We start from the raw sequence: 17,833 nt of genomic DNA, 5'->3' as shown, positions 1-17,833 counted from the left end.
AAATTTACTGTCATTTTTAAGTGCAAGCAAAGCTCTCAGTGTATGTGATTAAATTTATCAAAGGTGGCAAAGAGGGGATTACATTTTTATTTCACTTGTTTTTCCCTGTCCTAAATCTGTTATCCCAGAATGAACAAAACATATGCTGTATCAGAAGTGACTAACTATTAAAGCTAATGAGATATAACCAGCAACTGATATCATATACTTTTTCTTTTTCTTTTTTTTTTTGGAGATGGAGTTTTGCTCTTGTTGCCCAGACTGGAGTGCAATGGCACGATCTCGGCTCAACACAACCTTCACCTCACAGGTTCAAGCGATTCTCCTGCCTCAGCTTCCCGAGTGCTGGGATTACAGGCGTGTATCACCATGCCTGGCTAATTTTGTATTTTTAGTAGAGACAGGGTTTCTCCATGTTGGTCAGGCTGGTCTCGAACTCCTGACCTCAGGTGATCTGCGCGCCTCAGCCTCCCAAAGTGCTGGGATTACAGGCATGAGCCACCGCGCCTGGCTGCATTTATTTATTTATTTATTTATTTTGAGACTGAGTCTTGCTCTGTTGCCCAGTAGTGCGATCTCGGCTCACTGAAACCTCCGCCTCCCTAGTTCAAGTGAAAATCCTGCCTCAGCCTCTGAATAGCTGGGATTATAGGTGCCCACCACCAGGCTGGGCTAATTTTTGTATTTTTAGCAGAGACAGGGTTTCACCATGTTGGCCAGGCTGGTCTCGAACCCCTGAGCTCAGGTGATCCACCCACCTTGGCCTCCCAAATTGCTGGGATTACAGGCATGAGCCACCGCACCAAGCCGGTTTTTACTTTTTAATTAAATTATTATTATTATTATTATTATTATTATTTTCTTTTTGAGACAGAGTCTCGCTCTGTCGCCCAGGCTGGAGTGCAGTGGCACGATCTCGGCTCACTGCAAGCTCTGCCTCCCCCGGGTTCACGCCATTCTCCTGCCTCAGCCTCCTGAGTAGCTGGGACTACAGGCGCCCGCCACCATGCCCGGCTAATTTTTTGTATTTTTAGTAGAGACGGGGTTTCACCGTGTTAGCCAGGATGGTCTTGAACTCCTGACCTCGTGATCCGCCCACCTCGGCCTCCCAAAGTGCTGGGATTACAGGCGTGAGCCACCATGCCCAGCCTATTATTATTTTTGAGATGGAGTTTCACTCCGTCACTAGGCCAGAGTACAGTGGCGCTGTCTTGGCTCACTGCAACCTCCGCCTCCTGGTTCAAGCGATTCTCCTGCCTCAGCCTCCCCAGTAGTTGGGACTACAGGCACGCGCCACCATGCCCAGCTAATTTTTGTATTTTTATTTTATTTTATTTTTGAGACAGAGTCTTGCTCTTGTTGCTCAGGCTGGAGTGCAATGGCAGGATCTCGGCTCACTGCAACCTCCGCCTCTTGAGTTAAAGTGATTCTCCTGCCTCAGCCTCCTGAGTAGCTGGGATTACAGGTGCCCACCACCATGCCCAGCTAATTTTTTGTATCTTTAATAGAGACGGGGTTTCACAGTGTTGGCCGGGCTGGTCTCAAACTCCTGACCTCAGGTGATTCACCTCCTCGGTCTCCCAAAGTGCTGAGATTACAGGCGTGAGCCACCGCACCTGGCCAATTTTTGTATTTTTAGTAGAGACAGGGTTTCACCATGTTGGCCAGGATGGTCTCAATCTGTTGACCTTGTGATCTGCCTGCCTCAACCTCCCAAAGTGCTGGGATTACAGGTATGAACCACTGTGCCTGGCCAAATAAATTAATTTTTGTGGGGGACAGGATCTCACTCTGTCACACAGGCTGGAGTGCAGTGGTAAGACCATAGCTCCCTGCAGCCTCCACCTCTTGGGCTCAAGCCATCCTTCCACCCCAGCCCCCAAGTAGCTGCCACCACACCCAGCTAATTTTTAAATTTTTTTTGTGGAAACAGGGCCTAGTCTGTGTTGCCCCAGCTGGTCTTGAACTCCTGGGCTCAAGTGATCCTCTCATCTTGGCGTCTCAAAGTGCTGGGATTACAGGCATGAGCCCCTGCACCCTGCCTACTTTAAATTTTTTAATCTTCATTTCCCCATTATGAATTTTCTGACATAGATACACAGAAAGTTTTATTTGCCCAAGGTATGCAGGAATGAAATTACTTTCTGTCCATTGTAAAACTAGCTTAGTGTCTAGCTACATTGTGTGATAATAATATAATAACTTCACCTAGGTGGAGACAAGTTAGGAAGGTAGGGGAAATTATGCTCTACTACTGTGAGAGGAAAACGTACATACACGAATTATTTGGAAATCTGCAGGGGAGATTCCCCCCTTTTTGTTTCCCCCGCCCTGAGATGGTATCTTGCTCTGTTTCCCAGGCTGGAGTGCAATGGCAAGATCTTGGCTCACTCCAACCTCTGCCTCCTTGGTTCAAGTAATTCTCCTGCCTCAGCCTCCCGAGTAGCTGGGCTTACAGGTGCGCACCACCATGCCCAGCTAATTTTTTGTATTTTTAGTAGAGATGGGGTTTCACTATGTTGGCCAGGCTGGTCTCAAACTCCTGACCTCGTGATCTGCCTGCCTCGGTCTCCCAAAATGCTGGGTTTACAGGCATAAGCCACCGCACCCAGCCTTTTTTTTTTTCTTAATCAGTTATATCAATATGAATTTGTGGATATTCATTTTGTACTTTGGGATTGATTGATTGATTGATTTATAGATGGAGTCTCTCTCTGTCTCCCAGGCTGGAGTGCAGTGGTGCGATCTTGGCTCACTGCAACCTCTGCCTCTTTGGTTCTAGCAGTTCTCTTGCCTCAGCCTCCCAAGTAGCTGGGACTACAGGCGCACACCGCCACGCCTGGCTAATTTTTTGTATTTTAGTAGAAACGGGGTTTCACCCTGTTGCCCAGGCTGATCTCGAACTCCTGAGTTCAGGCACTCCACCCGCCTCAGTCTCCCAAAGTGCTAGGATTACAGGCATGAACCACAGCACCTGGCCTGTACTTGGGGTTTTGATCCAATACCAATTTATTTTATGGCCCAGTTGTTTCAGTTTTGACCATCAGGAGCTCTTTCATCTGCCTCCTTTGCCCCTTTTACACAATCCCATCAATTTTCTTTTTTTTTTTTTTTTTTTTGAGACAGAGTCTCACTCTGTTGCCCAGGCTGGAGTGCAGTGGCACAATCTCAGCTCACTGCAACCTCCGCCTCCTGGGTTCAAGCAATTCTCGTGCCTCAGCCTCCTGAGTAGCTGGGATTACAGGCACCCGCCACCATGGCCAGCTAATTTTTGTATTTTTAGTAGAGATGGGGTTTCACCATGTTGGTCAGGCTTGTCTCGAACCCCTGACCTTGTGATTCACCCGCCTCAGCCTCCCAAAGTGCTGGGATTACAGGCGTGAGCCACCGCACCCGGCCAATCCCATCAATTTTCTTTTGTTTTGTTTTTAGGGCACTTCCTTACTTTGTGGCAGTACTGGATTCTCCAGGCTCATCTTATATATTTCCTGTCCTCCTAGATTCTGCCGTTTCACCAAGGAGCCCTGGTTTCTTTTATTGGAGAACGGTATTAGAAAGAACTTCTGGGTGCTAGGTATGCTTATTACTTGTAGGCCCTTGCAGTTAACAGAACAAGGTGGTAGATGAGTGTATACTAACACATGTATATATGTGTGTGTGTGTATATTATGCACCAATTGTAAATATTTATATGTAACCATCTGTATCTATTTAAACATGAGTTCATCCTGTCTCCCACTCTAATCCATTATCACAGGATCATTCTATCTTCCTTCCTTGACTATTTGTAAATTCCCACTCCAATAAGAAAATTTGGTCTAGCCATCTGCCAACTATTTACTTAATCGTTCAATGCCAATATACATGTATAGCTAGATTAGTATTGTTAGCCTCTGCTTTTGTGAGAAACAACTTTGTCAAGTAGAGACTAGTGCTTATATGAAGTTTCTTTTGCCTTTAGTTTTATAGATGCCCCTTATTTCCAAAGTTACTTAGGTTACACCTTTTCCTCCACCCAAGGTGGTCTCATATATTTGTAATATAGTTGGATTGTTTTATCATAATCTAGGATCCCCCAGCCTCCTGAGTAAGTGGTTTTTTTTAAAAATTTACATGTATTAAATTTCACTCTTTGATGCTGTGGGTTTTGACAAATGTGGGTTGTGAGCTTTGAGTCTTACCAGTTTTATAGAAAACCTTGGAATTTCTCACAGTGGCACTTGTCAGTATAAGCTGCGTGACTTGGATATGTCTATCATTTTGATTGTTTCAGACTGTCCTGGCTGGGCAAAGTGGGTCACACACGTAATCCCAGCACTTTGGGAGACCAAGGTGGGCGGATCACTTGAGGTCAGGAGTTTGAGACCAGCCTGGCCAACATGGTGAAACCCAGTCTCTACTAAAATACGAAAATTAGCTGGGTGTGGTGGTGTGTGCCTGTAGTCCCAGCTACTTGGGAGGCAGAGGTGAGAGAATCGCTTGAACCTGGAGGCAGAGGTTGCAGTGAGCAGAGATTGCACCATTGCACTCCAGCCTGGGCAACAGAGCGAGACTCCGTCTTAAAAAACAAAACAAAAACTTTCCCATCTTAAAATAAATGAGATTGTGTTTACTTTGCAGTAATTCATCAAGCTCTACTCTTAGGATGGTCACTTTTCTGTGTTACTTGGATTTTAAAATGCTTTAAAGAATTGAATGGTTTGGGCAAAATAGTTTAGGCTCTATCTTTAACTCTGAATCTATTTATCTTTCTAATTTTGAACTCCTTTTAATGTTTTTCTTCTGGGACTTACCACGATTAAAAGTTAGCATTTTTGTTTTGTTTTACTTTTTGGTTTTTCAGCTAGGCTTCTGACAGTATTGCACATTTACATAAAAGTGTAATTATGCCTTTGCTTAAGATTTGTTTTTATTTCAGTTAATTCGTCAGTGAAGAAAAATACATTTTATGCTCTACTCCCAACTAAGATGAACTGTCTTACAGATGGCTTTGTGCTTTTGGTCATAAGCAAGGCCATGTGAAAGTACGGTTCAGTGAAGTCTTTCAACACTGAACACCTCAAGAGTATACTTTGCAACCGTAAGTGAGTCATTAACATCCCTCGTCAGTAAGGTACTTTATGATCTTCATCAAAAAAGTACCGATATTGTTAAGGTGTCTACTAATGTGCCAGATGTACAAAGATAATATGGCTTAGTCTCTGCTCTCAAGTAGTGTACACTCTAATGGGGAAAAAAGGAAGTTAAAATGACATTTAGAAGTGGGTCATAGAGAGAGATGGTGAGAGAGAGATGGTGCTGTGTAAGTGAGCAGGCTTCCTGGTTGACACCTTTTGGGATTAGGAAGATTAAATGGTTCATAGTAAACTGAATGTTTTCAGAGCAGACCTATCTTGTTTAAGGGCCTTTAGCCATTACTTAGATGACATTTATGTAGCTCATCTCCATGTTTTATTAGTTGTTTGTTTAAATTATGTGAGTAATGAAAGGTGTAGTTGATTCTGGCTTACGTGTTTTAGATGACTTATAAATCCTAGAAAAAACATCACCTATCAGAATTAACTCAAGAATAATTTTTTTCTTTTTTTTTTTTTTTTTGAGACAGGGTTTGGTTCTGTTGCCCAGGTTGCAATACAGTGGTGTGATCTTGGCTCACTGCAACCTCTACCTCCTGGGCTCAAGTGATCCTCCCACTTCGGCCTCCTGAGTAGCTGAGACTACAAGTGTGCACCACCACACCCCACTAATTTTTGTATTTTTTGTAGAGATGGAGTTTGACCATGTTGCCCAGGCTGGTCTTGAACTCCTGAACTCAAGTGATCCACTTGCCTTGGCCTCCCAAAGTGCTGGGATTACAGGCATGAACTACTGCACCTGGCCTCAAGAAGAAATTTTAAAACTCGAGTAGTTGTATTAACAATAAAGAGGCTGGGCACGGTGGCTCATGCCTGTAATCCCAGCACTTTGGGAGGCCCAGGCAGATGGATCACCTGAGGTCGGGAGTTCGAGACCAGCCTGACCAACATGGAGAAACCCCGTCTTTGCGAAAAAATACAAAATTAGCCGGGCATGCTGGTGCATGCCTGTAATCCCAGCTACTTGGGAGGCTGAGGCAGGAGAATCGCTTGAACTCAGGAGGTGGAGGTTGCAGTGAGCCGAGATCGTGCCATTGCACTCCAGCCTGGGCAACAAGAGCGAAATTCCATCTCAAAACACACACAGACACACACAGACACACACACACACACACACACACACACACACACAAATTTGGGCACTGAAGTTCCATTTTACCTTTCTACCAAATAAAGCATTTTGCTGAATTTAAAACGTATGGTTCTCCATATGAAATTTTCGGCCAGGTGTGGTGGCTCACGCCTGTAATCCCAGCACTCTAGGAGACCGAGGTGGGCAGATCACCTGAGGTCAGGAGTTTGAGACCACCCTGGCCAGCATGGTGAAACCCTGTCTTTACTAAAAATACAAAAATTAGTTGGGCGTGGTGACGCATGCCTATAATCCCAGCTACTCTGGAGGCTGAGGTAGGAGAATCGCTCGAGTGAGTTCACTGCACTCCAGCCTAGGTGACAAAGCCAGACTCTCTCAAAAACAAAACAACAAAAAAAAGAAAGTATATTGATGGGTAGTTTGTGGAATACTTTATTTTTCCATTTTTAAATTTTTTCTGTTTTATTAAGGGAATCTTAATTGGGTAGCACACTAATGAGTTCACCATTTTTAAAAACTGCAGCTGGTATCTGTTATGAAATTTGGTATGCTTTATAAAATAGCTTCCTGAATTTGTCATAATAGCTCACAGTTTGCTAATAGCAACAATGGTTATGCCAAATTATTCTATTTCTAGGCTTTTTTTTTGGTCAAAACATAGACTGTCAATAATAAGGAGTCTCTAGATTATATGCTTCGTTAATGTAGAATTTAAAATATTAAACTGTGTACTTAAAAACAATTGGGTAAAAAATGTGTTTTTTAGTTTAGTTTTGTTTTGTCTTAAAGGTAATTCTGTTTTGTTGTTGTTGTTTTGGGACAGAGTCTTGCTCTGTTGCCCAAGCTGGAGTGCAGTGGCATGATATTGGCTCACTGCAGCCTCCACCTCTCGGGCTCAAGAGATCCTCCCACCTCAGCCTCCCAAGTAGCTGGGACAACAGGTTTGCACTACCATGCCTGGCTAACTTGTGTATTTTTTATAGAGACAGGGTCTCACTTTGTTGCTTTGGCTGGTCACGAACTCCTGGGCTCAAGCAATCTGCCTGTTTTGGCCTCTCAAAGTGTTGGGTTTACTGGTGTGAGCCACTGCACCCAGCTCTAAAGGTAATTCTGTAAGTGGCAAAGGATATCAGTTTAAGTTACAATAATTTGACAATGTTTAATCCCTTCACCTTCCCCAATTTTATTCTCTGAAATTCTACCTCTTCTTTATTTTTGTTGTTGTTTTTTGATTTTTTGAAACGGAGTCTTGCTGTGTCACCCAGGCTAGAGTGTAGTTGCGCGATCTTGGCTCACTGCAGCATCTAACTCCTGGGCTCAAGCGATGCTCGCACCTCAGACCCCCTGTAGCTGGGACTACAGGTGTGCGCCACCATGGCCAACTAATTTTTGTATTTTTTGTAGAGAAGGGTTTTGTCATGTTGCCCAGGCTGGTCTCAAATTCCTGGACTCAAGTTTTCTGCCTGCTTTGGCTTCCCAAAGTGCTTGGATTACAGGCATGAGTCACCACACTTGGCTTCTACCTAGTCTTTAGAGCTCAGCTGAAATGCTTGTCTGTGAACCTTCCTTATACTAGTTAGAAGCCATCTCTTTCTTTCTTGAACTGTTAAGGCTTCTTGTTTTGTCTCATAGGTCATTTATTATATAATGTTCTGTGTTGGTATTATTAATTTATGTGTCCTTGGCCCTTAGTGGGTCCATCTGTTTGACAGCAAATAGTGACATATCTTCTTTTTGTACCCTGTGTGGGATCTAAGCATAATATATTTTTTCTTTTTGTGTTTTTAATATTTGATAGCAGTCAAGCTTGCAATAAGCACGGTATTTTTACATATAGCAAATGTTTCATTGATATTTGTTGAATGCACGGAGTAAGGTAGAATTTTTTATTTTATCCTTTTTCTACTTTCTATAACTTTTTCATTTGAGTTGATAAAATGATAACCGTGGTATATTCATAAGAAGGCTTATTGTCTTAGATTGAATCACTTTATGATCTTCTTTAAATCTCTCATTCAACAGTATATTTTCAAGAGTAGCATTTAGTACTTAGCCTACATTAGTGCTGCTGAAGTGGTTCACTTTATGAGTTCATAATGACATCTGTTCAGGGTTGCTGCTTTGTCCCTAAAGCCTCAGAAGCCCTCATGCTGTGGGATGACTGTGGGTTCCTCCATTCAGTCCAGTCCCTTCTTCTTTTTATTTTTCTCTGCTCCTCCTTCTTGTCCCTTATTCTTTTTTTTTTTTTTTTTTTTTTTTGAGACAGAGTCTTGCTTTGTCACCTCACCCACCTTGGAGTGCAGTGGTACGATCTCGGCTCACTGCAATCTCCGCCTCCTGGGTTCAAGGGATTCTCCTGCCTCAGCCTCCTAAGTAGCTGGGATTACAGGTGCACACCACCACGCCTGGCTAATTTTTGTTTTTAGTAGGGGTCTCACCATATTGGCCAGGCTGGTCTCGAACTCCTGACCTCAAAAGATCCGCGCACCTCAGCCTCCCAAAGTGCTGGGATTACAGGCGTGAGCCACTGCGCCCGGCCCTGTCCCTTATTCTTTAGTTAGGTCTCAGTCCTTTATTTTATTATCTATCGGTAAGAAGTTCCCTTAATTACTTTTTTTGTTTGTTTGTTTGTTTTTGAGACGGAGTCTCGCACTGTCACCTGGGCTGGAGTACAGTGGCACGATCTTGGCTTACTGCAACCTCTGCCTCCCAGGTTCAAGCGATTCTCTGGCCTCAGCCTCCCGAGTAGCTGGGATTACAGGTGCCCACCACCACGCCCAGCTAATTTTTTGTATTTTTAGTAGAGATGGGGTTTCACCATGTTGGCCAGGCTGGTCTCAAACTCCTGACCTTGTGATTCCTCCGCCTTGGCCTCCCAAAGTGCTGGGATTACAGGCGTGAGCCACTGTGCCTGGCCAATTACATTTTTTAACCTTTTGAATTTGTGACAAATACGTTTGATTGCATTTTAAATGTTCAGCTTCCTTTTAGGTAAATGAAGTGTATTCCAACTTTAATAAAGATGTGTTTACCACAAGAGGATTGTCAGATGTCTAGTTGAATAGAAACCAAAGGCAAAAAACTAATCAAATATTGCCCTCAAATCTGGCAATGGCTTTTAAATGCATAGCAGTTTCATTCCCATGTTGAAATTCTTTTGAGTTGATTCTTTCTAGGTTACGGATTTTCTCCAATGAATTCAGAGTAGTTTCTTGATATCTACTATCTTTACAAAATCTTCCTGAAGTAAGTGGGGAACTTTCATTACTTAGGGAGGTTTTTGTTTCTTACTCTGTGTGACTTATGCTAGGTTTCACAGCATTAAAGCTAGAAACAGTGGCCACATCTTCCAGTCTCAAAATCTTAACCTTAATTTATACCTCAGAAGGGTAAGGCATTCAGACTTTAGAAACTGATTTGTGTTTAGTTATATGTAGCATAGTTTTTTTTTTAGTTTTTAAAATTTTTTTTGTATTTTGAGACAGAGTCTCGCTCTGTTGCCCAGGCTGGAGTACAGTGGTGCGATCTCAGCTCACTGCAACCTCCGCCTCCCAGGTTCAAGCAATTCTCCTGCCTCAGCCTCCTGAGTAGCTGGGATTACAGGCATGCGCCTGCACGCCCAGCTAATTTTTGTATTTTTAGTAGAGACGGGGTTTCCCCATGTTGGTCAGGCTGGTCTTGAACTCCTGACCTCATGATCCACCCACCTCAGCCTCCCAAAGTGCTGGGATTACAGGTGTGAGCCATCACGCCTGGCCTAGTATAGTAGTTTTTCGGAAGAAAAAGATACTACTGGGCCAAATAAATAGTTTCCTCTCTGGCAGCAGACTCTCAGGCCAGTATATATACCTTAAAAGGTACAAAATTCCATAAACCAGAGATTTGTATTAATTCTGACCAATAAAATATTTTGACAACATCTAGTAACATATAAAGGTAGGATCTACCATTTTCTGGATATACTAATGATGTAATTTTTTTTACATGTCCCAGGTAGCTGGGATTACAGGCGCCTGCCACCACGCCTGACTAATTTTTGGTGTTTTTAGTAGAGACAGGGTTTCGCCATGTTGGCTAGGCTGGTCTTGAGCTCCCGTCCTCAGGTGATCCACCCACCTCGGACTCCCAAATTGCTGGGATTACAGGCGTGAGCCACCACGCCTGGCCTAATGATGTAATTTCTATTATAAAATAACTACTGGGCACAGTGACTTATACCTGTATTCCCAGCACTTTGGAACATTGGGACAGGAGGATCACTTGAGCCTAGGAGTTCAAGGCTGCAGTGAACTATAATTGTGCCACTGCACTCTAGCCTGGGCGACAGAGCAGAACCCTATCTTTAAAAAAAAAAAAAAAACCCTTGCGAGCTCAGCACAAAGGTGTTCTGAGTAGACATGTCAATAAACCTTACACTCATTTGAATGCCTAGTACTAAGAAGACAAAGATGCCTAGGCCAATGGTCCTGCCTCCAGGGAGTTCAGATTCCAGTACATTCATTCAGTCACGTTGGGGAAGCTGAGAAGGTGTAACACAAATGTGAAGGGTGAGAAGGACTTCTTTTAAACAGTTTCATGAAAATTACATTCATTGAGTTAGTATGCTTACGTGTGAAAAGTTTGTAGGGCTTCTTTTGGCATGAAAACAAGAAAAACTCAGAGTTTCAAAATGCCTCTATATCCTTGGGGGAATATGAGTGATGATTTTATTACCTAATCATGGAAGTGAAAAAGAAGGGCTATGCAAATTGGTGTTGGGCATGTAATTACAGAGGAATTGCATCTGAGCTCACCCATGTGTGTTCTCCTTGGCATCTGTGGCTAGGGCCAAGTTAGCAAACATGCCCTCAAAGGTATGGGGTTTGATGTTTTTGTGGAGGGTGTAACAGTTGAATGGTGGAAATTGCTTGACATTGGCTATTACAGCAGTATGAGTCTCTTTATGTTGGCTTGCTATTGTATTTTAAGACAATTTGGAAAGAGAATGAGTTGTTTTATTGAATCAAATTTATTCTGATTGGGAAAAATAGTAATGTAAATAAACTTTTGCAGCCTCCATTGATTCATTTTGTTCTGCAACAGACCTTAGGCTTATAGTCTGTCAAAATGTTGTGCAAGGGAGCAACTATTTAATTTAAATGTCAACCATGCAGCCAAAGTCAAGGAATCCATTTCTTTGGGCTCTTTTCCTTGGTGAATTTAGAGCTGAGTGGAGGTTAAAAATATAAGAAAGTTAGGCTGGGCACGGTGGATTACTTGAGGTCGGGAGTTTGAGACCAGCCTGGCTAACATGGTGAAACCCTGTTTCTACCAAAAATACAAAAATTTGATCATGCCACTGCACTCCAGTCTGGGGCACAGAGCGAGACTCCCATCTCAAAAAAAAAAAAAATTAGCTGGGCATAGTGATGTGCGCCAGCTACTTGGGAGGCTGAGGTGGGAGAATCACTTGAACCTGGGAGGCAGAGGTTGCAGTGAGCTCAGATCGTGCCACTTCACTCCAGCCTGGGTGACAGAGTGAGACCCTATCTCAAAAAAATAATAAAACAAAAAATATATATGAAAGTTAATAAATCAGTGAAGTTAGCCAGTAGGAAATGATAATATATAAGGGAACAAGTAAGAGGGACTATGGGAAGTGATATTTTTTCCAGTAATAAAAGGCATGGTTTGATTTTTTTTTTTTTTTTTTTGACATGGAGTTTGCTCTTGTTGCCCAGGCTAGAGTGCGGTGGCATGATCTCGGCTTACTGCAACTTCCACCTCTCCAGTTCAAGTGATTCTCCTGCCTCAGCCTCCCGAGTAGCTGGGATTACAGGCATGTGCCACCACGCCCAGCTAGTTTTTTGTATTTTTAGTAGAGACGGGGTTTCACCATGTTAGCCAGGCTGGTCTTGAACTCCTGACCTCAGGTGATCTGCCTGCCTTGGCCTTCCAGAGTGCTGGGATTACACGCGTGAGCCACCATGCTCGGCGACTGTACGTTTTAGGATAGGAATTTGGGCTGGAAATGGAGGTCTCTGTTGTTTGAAAGGCCTCCCTCTAGCGAGTCAGTCATGTTGAAAAACACCTTACCCACGTGAGCATGGAAAGAGGCATAACTATCTAGGATCCTTTTTCTTTTTCTTTTTCTTTTTTTTTTTAAGATGGAGTCTCACTCTGTTGCCCAGGCTAGAGGGCAGTGGCGCAATCTCGGCTCACTGCAACCTCTGCCTCCCAGGTTCAAGTGATTCTCCTGCCTTAGCCTCCCGAGTAGCTGGGACTACAGGTGCACGGCACCATGCCCGGCTAATTTTTGTATTTTTAGTAGAGACGGAGTTTCACCATATTGGCCAGGCTGGTCTCGAACTCCCGAGCTCGTGATCCGCCTGCCTAAGCTTCCCAAAGTGCTGGGATTACAGGCGTGAGCCACCACACCTGGCCTAGGATCCTTTTTCTAATACAGTTTTCAGGAAACCCATTATAATACTCTTCTCTGCTTTTGGGGAATGAAGGGAATTGCTCCTTTCTCACTGTCAGTGCCTTTCCCCCATACCACCAGGTGGACTTAAGCCACTCCAGTCCTTCCAAGTAGCCACCAATTTGCTGATTATCACTAAGATTCTAATAGCCACTTTGCTAGGAAACATTTGTAGTATCATAAGCTTTCAGCCAGTTTGGTAGATAAATTATCTGGGAAGCAATTTTATGAGTTCATGTTTTCATTTTCCTTAATGTGATTCTTCCAGTTTTAAAAGATGTTACACATAATTAGTGCATGAATTACTGCAGTGGTAGAGATGAGGTAGGAGGTTTCTGTTCTCTGCTCTCCCCGGTCTGTCACTTTTTGGAACATTTCAGATCTTTCTCAAAGCCCCAAAGTATATTTCGAGATTACTCTTCGTTTCCTTCCCCACCCCCCGCCAAATCCAGCTTTTCCCAATTTTGGGAAGACCCTTCTTATTCTTCCTTTCATCAGTGCTAGAGGGAATGCTGGAAATTTGTAAAGTGGGGTGGCATAGTAAATGGTCTGGGTAGAGTGTGTGGAGCAAGAGAAATAAATGTATTAAAAAATAATAAAATTATCCCTTCAAAAGGACTTACTGTCCATCTGTAAGGAGGCTGGCTGAAGCTGTTAGCTCCTTTAGGGTCTGCCTCAGCTTTGGAGCCTTCTGCCAGTGGTTGAGCGAAGCAGTGATTTAGAGCCTTGCCCTTTCTGCCCAGTACTAGATTCCCCTGAGTGGCCGTCTTTGCTCCCGAGCTCTCTGTTGGACAGGCTTTGTCAGGTCTGCATTGTGGTCTGATGGCTCCTCTTGCCCAATCCTGCTGCTTCTGCACTTCTTCCAGAAGTTACTTCCCATTAAACTTTTTCCATTCTGAATTCTGTCTAGCATCTGCTTCCTGGAGAATCTAATCTGCAACACAGTTCTTACATAAAACACCCTATTTCCTTCATTTTACTGGTTTTACCTCAGACTTTGTGTATAATGTCATAGGAGTATAAATGAGATGCCTGCCTCTATGTGTATGCTTTCTTTGTAGAAAATTTAGGAAATACAGATAAGCAGAAGCAAGACATTTTTAAAATTATTAATAATATTCCCACTAGAAGTAACTGCTGATAATGGCTTATTTTGGCAACTTTATTTATTTATTTAAGACGGAGTCTTGCTCTGTCGCCCAGGCTGGAGTGCAGTGGAGCGACCTCAGCTCACTGCAACGTCTGCCTCCTGGGTTCAAGCGATTCTCCTGCCTCAGCCTCCCGAGTAGCTGGGATTACAGGTGTGTGCCACCACACCCAACTAATTTTTGTGTTTTTAGTAGAGACGGGTTTCACCATGCTGGCCATGCTGGTCTCGAACTCTTGACCTCAGGTGATCCACCCGCCTAGGCCTCCCAAAGTTCTGGGATTACAGCATGAGCCACTGCACCCGGCCAGTATTTTGACAAACTTTAGAGAAGTGCGTGAGTATTCAGCTCAGTAAATTTTTTACAAACAAAAAACATCTGTGTAACCAGTACCCAATCAGGAAACAGAACTTTACTAGTACCTCAGATACCTCACTTGTAACAGCATAAATTTTGCCTCGTTTTGAACTTGATATAATTGTAATCGTATAGTATATATTCTTCTTCTTCTTTTTTTTTTTTTCTTCGAGACATGGTCTAACTCGGTTGCCCAGGCTGGAGTCCAGTGGTGTGGTCATGGCTTCCTGTAGCCTCAAACTCTTGGGCTCAAGTGATCCTCCTGCTCAGCCTCCTGGGTAGCTGGGACCACAGATGTGTGCCAGCACACCCGGTTAATTATTTTTTTGTAGAGATGGTGTCTCACTTTGTTGCCCAGGCTGGTCTCAAATTCCTGACCTCAAATGATCCTCCTGTTTTGGCTTACTAAAGTGTTGGGATTATAGGCATGAGCCACTGTGCCTGCCCATTCTTCTGTCTTCTGTTTGTTTGTTTGTTTGTTTGTTTGCTTGTTTGAGATGGAGTCTTGCTGTATTGTCTAGGCTGGAGTGCAGTGGCCAGTCTTGGCTAACTGCAACCTCTGCATCCCAGGTTCAAGTGATTCTCCTGCCTCATCCTCCCAAGTAACTGGGATTACAGGCACATGCATCACCAAGCCTGGCTAAGTTTTGGATTTTTGTTTGTTTGTTTGTTTGTTGAGACGATCTCACTCTATTGCCCAGGCTGGAGTGCGGAGTGATCTCTGCTCACTGCAACCTCCACCTCCTGGGTTCAAGTGATTTTCATGCCTTAACCTCCCTAGTAGCTGGGACTGCAGGCATACGCTACCACGCCCAGCTAATTTTTGCATTTTTAGTAGAGATGGAGTTTCACTGTGTTGGCCAGGCTGGTCTTGAACTCCTGACCTCAGATGATCTGCCTACCTTAGCCTCCCAAAGTGCTGGGATTACGGGTGTGAGCCACTGCGCCCGGCCTAATTTTTGTATTTTTTAGTAGAGACGGAGTTTCACCATGTTGGTCAGGCTGGTTTTGAACTCCTGACCTCAGGTGATCCGCCCGCCTCAGCCTCCCAAAGTGTTGGGATTACAGGCGTGAGCCACTGCATCCGGCCTTCTATCTTCTTTTGCTTAACATTATGTTTGAGAGATTTATTTATATGTATATAACCTGTGGTTCTTTGCTCTATATTTCATGGCGAATGTACCACAATTTATTTGCTCTGTTGTTGATAGACATTCATGTTGTTCTAGTTTTTTACTGCCTGGATCTCTTAATGATTCATATTTTCTATTGTAAATACTGCCTTGTATTTGGTATTTTAGCAAGTGAAGTCTATTCTTGGAACATTTACTATCTTTTTTTTTTTTTTTTTTTTTTTTGAGAGTCTTTCTCTGTGTCCCAGGCTGGAGTGCAGTGGCATGATCTCGACTCACTGCAACCTCTGTCTCCCAGGTTCAAGCAGTTCTCCTGCCTCAGCCTCCTGAGTAGCTGGGATTACAGGCACGCGCCACTACACCTGGCTAATTTTTGTATTTTAGTAGAGATGGGATTTCGCCATGTTGCCCACGCTGGTCTCGAACTCCTGACCTAAGGTGATCTGCCGGCCTCAGAATCCCAAAGTGCTGGGACTACAGGTGTGAGCCACTGCACCCAACCAAGAACTACTATATTTTGTAAGTGGAAATAACCACTATTAAAAACAGAATGCTATAAATAGAATGATGTCTTTTGTTTCTAAAGTTGATGTACTAGAGCGATGTGAAAACAGTAACAAAAGAGATATTTTGTGGCAAAGTTATCTCGGGGTAAACACCACAGTTGCAGGCACCGCTGGCAAGTATTCTCCGGGCAAACAGGAAAAAGGTTAAGTGAATCGTCTTGCATAAAAGTTTAGAAAAACTGTTCTTTCTTTTCTTTCTTTCTTTTTTTTTTTTTTTTTTGAGATGGAGGTTTGCTCTTGTTGCCCAGGCTGGAGTGCAGTGGCATGATCTCGGCTCACTGCAACTCTGCCTCCCAGGTTCAAGTGATTCTCCTGCCTCAGCCTCCCGAGTAGCTGGGATTACAGGCATGTGCCACCATGCCCAGCTAATTTTCAATTTTTAGTAGAGACGGGGTTTCTCCATGTTTGTCAGGCTGGTCTCAAACTCCCAACTTCAGGTGATCTGCCCGCCTCGGTCTCCCAAAGTGCTGGGATTACAGGTTTGAGCCACCATGCCTGGTCGAAAAACGGTTATTTCTTAACCCATATTCTCAGAATGTTATTACTTTTTGCAAGACCCAGAGTTAGTTTTTCCTTCAAAATTTGAGGTCTTAGATCATTGTTACTGGCCAAGGAGGCTAGTTGCTCTTCCCTTTGCTGTCGGTCAGTCAGATCCTTGAGTTAGAAGAATTGTTGGAGAACAAGTTTTCTGGTTTACGATTATACCAGAACTTGGCTGCCACTCTGGTTTTCAGTGAAGAGAAAAAATGTAATCAAAAGCCTTTGGGGATGGGCTTGGTATTTGAGCTGTACCTGTCGAATTAAGGTGGCTCACAAGTGGTATTGGAAAGTGCTGAAGAGCAGATTTCACACTGAGAGTGGAAACGAAATTACAAAGAGCTTGGATGTACATGCCTGAATTGTTTTTGAGCTGCTTTCAGTGGAATACTGATATTTATGTTTTACCTATTACAGCTGTTGAGTGGAATGTCATGGCCAGCTCCTCGGACAGTGAAGATGACAGTTTCATGGCTGTGGACCAGGAAGAAACTGTGCTGGAAGGGACAATGGATCAAGATGAGGAGCCCCACCCAGTATTGGAGGCTGAGGAGACTAGACATAATAGGTCCATGTCGGAGCTGCCAGAAGAGGTTTTGGAGTATATCCTGTCCTTTCTCTCACCGTATCAGGAACACAAAACTGCGGCCCTTGTCTGCAAACAGTGGTATCGACTTATCAAAGGTACTGTGGATAGGAGAAAGGTTTATTTATTGATTTCAAATTTCACTGATTTATTTTTAGACTCCAAATTTAGTTTTTTTCCTCCCTTAAATGTATTATGGTTATAAAATCTAGCATTAGACGATACTACCCGGTTTTCTTTCTTACCCTGGTTAGTTTAATGAACAGCTTGAATACTGAAGTATCTAATCCCATTTGCATTTTAAAATGAGGATTGTTTTTAAAAGCTTCATATTCTTAGAGTTGATCTGGTTAATTGTATTGTTCTTTTCTTTTTTTTTTTTTCAGACGGAGTCTCACTCTGTCGCCCAGGCTGGAGTGCAGTGGCGCAATCTCGGCTCACTGCAAGCTCTGCCTCCCGGGGTCATGTTATTCACCTGCCTCAGCCTCCAGAGTAGCTGGGACTACAGGCGCCTGCCACCACGCCCGGCTGATTTTTTGTATTTTTACTAGAGACGGGGTTTCACTGTGTTAGCCAGAATAGTCTCAATCTCCTGACCTCGTGATCCGCCCGCCTCAGCGTCCCAAATGGATTAATTGTATTGTTCTTGAATGGGCAAAATAGAAATGGATATGGGATAATAGTAATAGCCAATGTGAACATAGCTTTTATCACGTGTCAAGCACTATTGTAACTGCTTTACATTCTCACAGCAAACTCTGACTAGAAGATCCTGCATTTTATAGATGACAGAACTGAGTGAAACACAGTTAACTTAT

General features: G+C 43.4%; 1 protein-coding gene across 5 annotated transcripts in view; it reads left to right on the top strand.

Annotated features, from left to right (window-relative positions):
• Window positions 1–17,833, top strand: part of FBXO42 (F-box protein 42) — a 105,641-nt gene that overhangs the window by 20,199 nt on the left and 67,609 nt on the right. For 2 of the 5 annotated variants that reach the window (NM_018994.3, XM_047422752.1), the window contains exon 2: window positions 16,847–17,113. In NM_018994.3, coding sequence (NP_061867.1) covers window positions 16,864–17,113 — 250 coding nt within the window. In that variant the 5' untranslated portion in view covers window positions 16,847–16,863. Of the gene's footprint in view, window positions 1–3,432; window positions 3,575–15,554; window positions 15,846–16,846; window positions 17,114–17,833 lie in introns of all 5 variants that reach the window. The other 3 variants (XM_047422747.1, XM_047422750.1, XM_047422751.1) reach the window with 3 other exon arrangements.

The sequence above is a fragment of the Homo sapiens genome, chromosome 1 (genome assembly GCF_000001405.40).
Source record: "Homo sapiens chromosome 1, GRCh38.p14 Primary Assembly".
Taxonomy (NCBI): domain Eukaryota; kingdom Metazoa; phylum Chordata; class Mammalia; order Primates; family Hominidae; genus Homo; species Homo sapiens.
The sequence above is the reverse complement of the archived record's forward strand: the minus strand, read 5'-3'. Positions and strand labels throughout refer to the sequence as shown.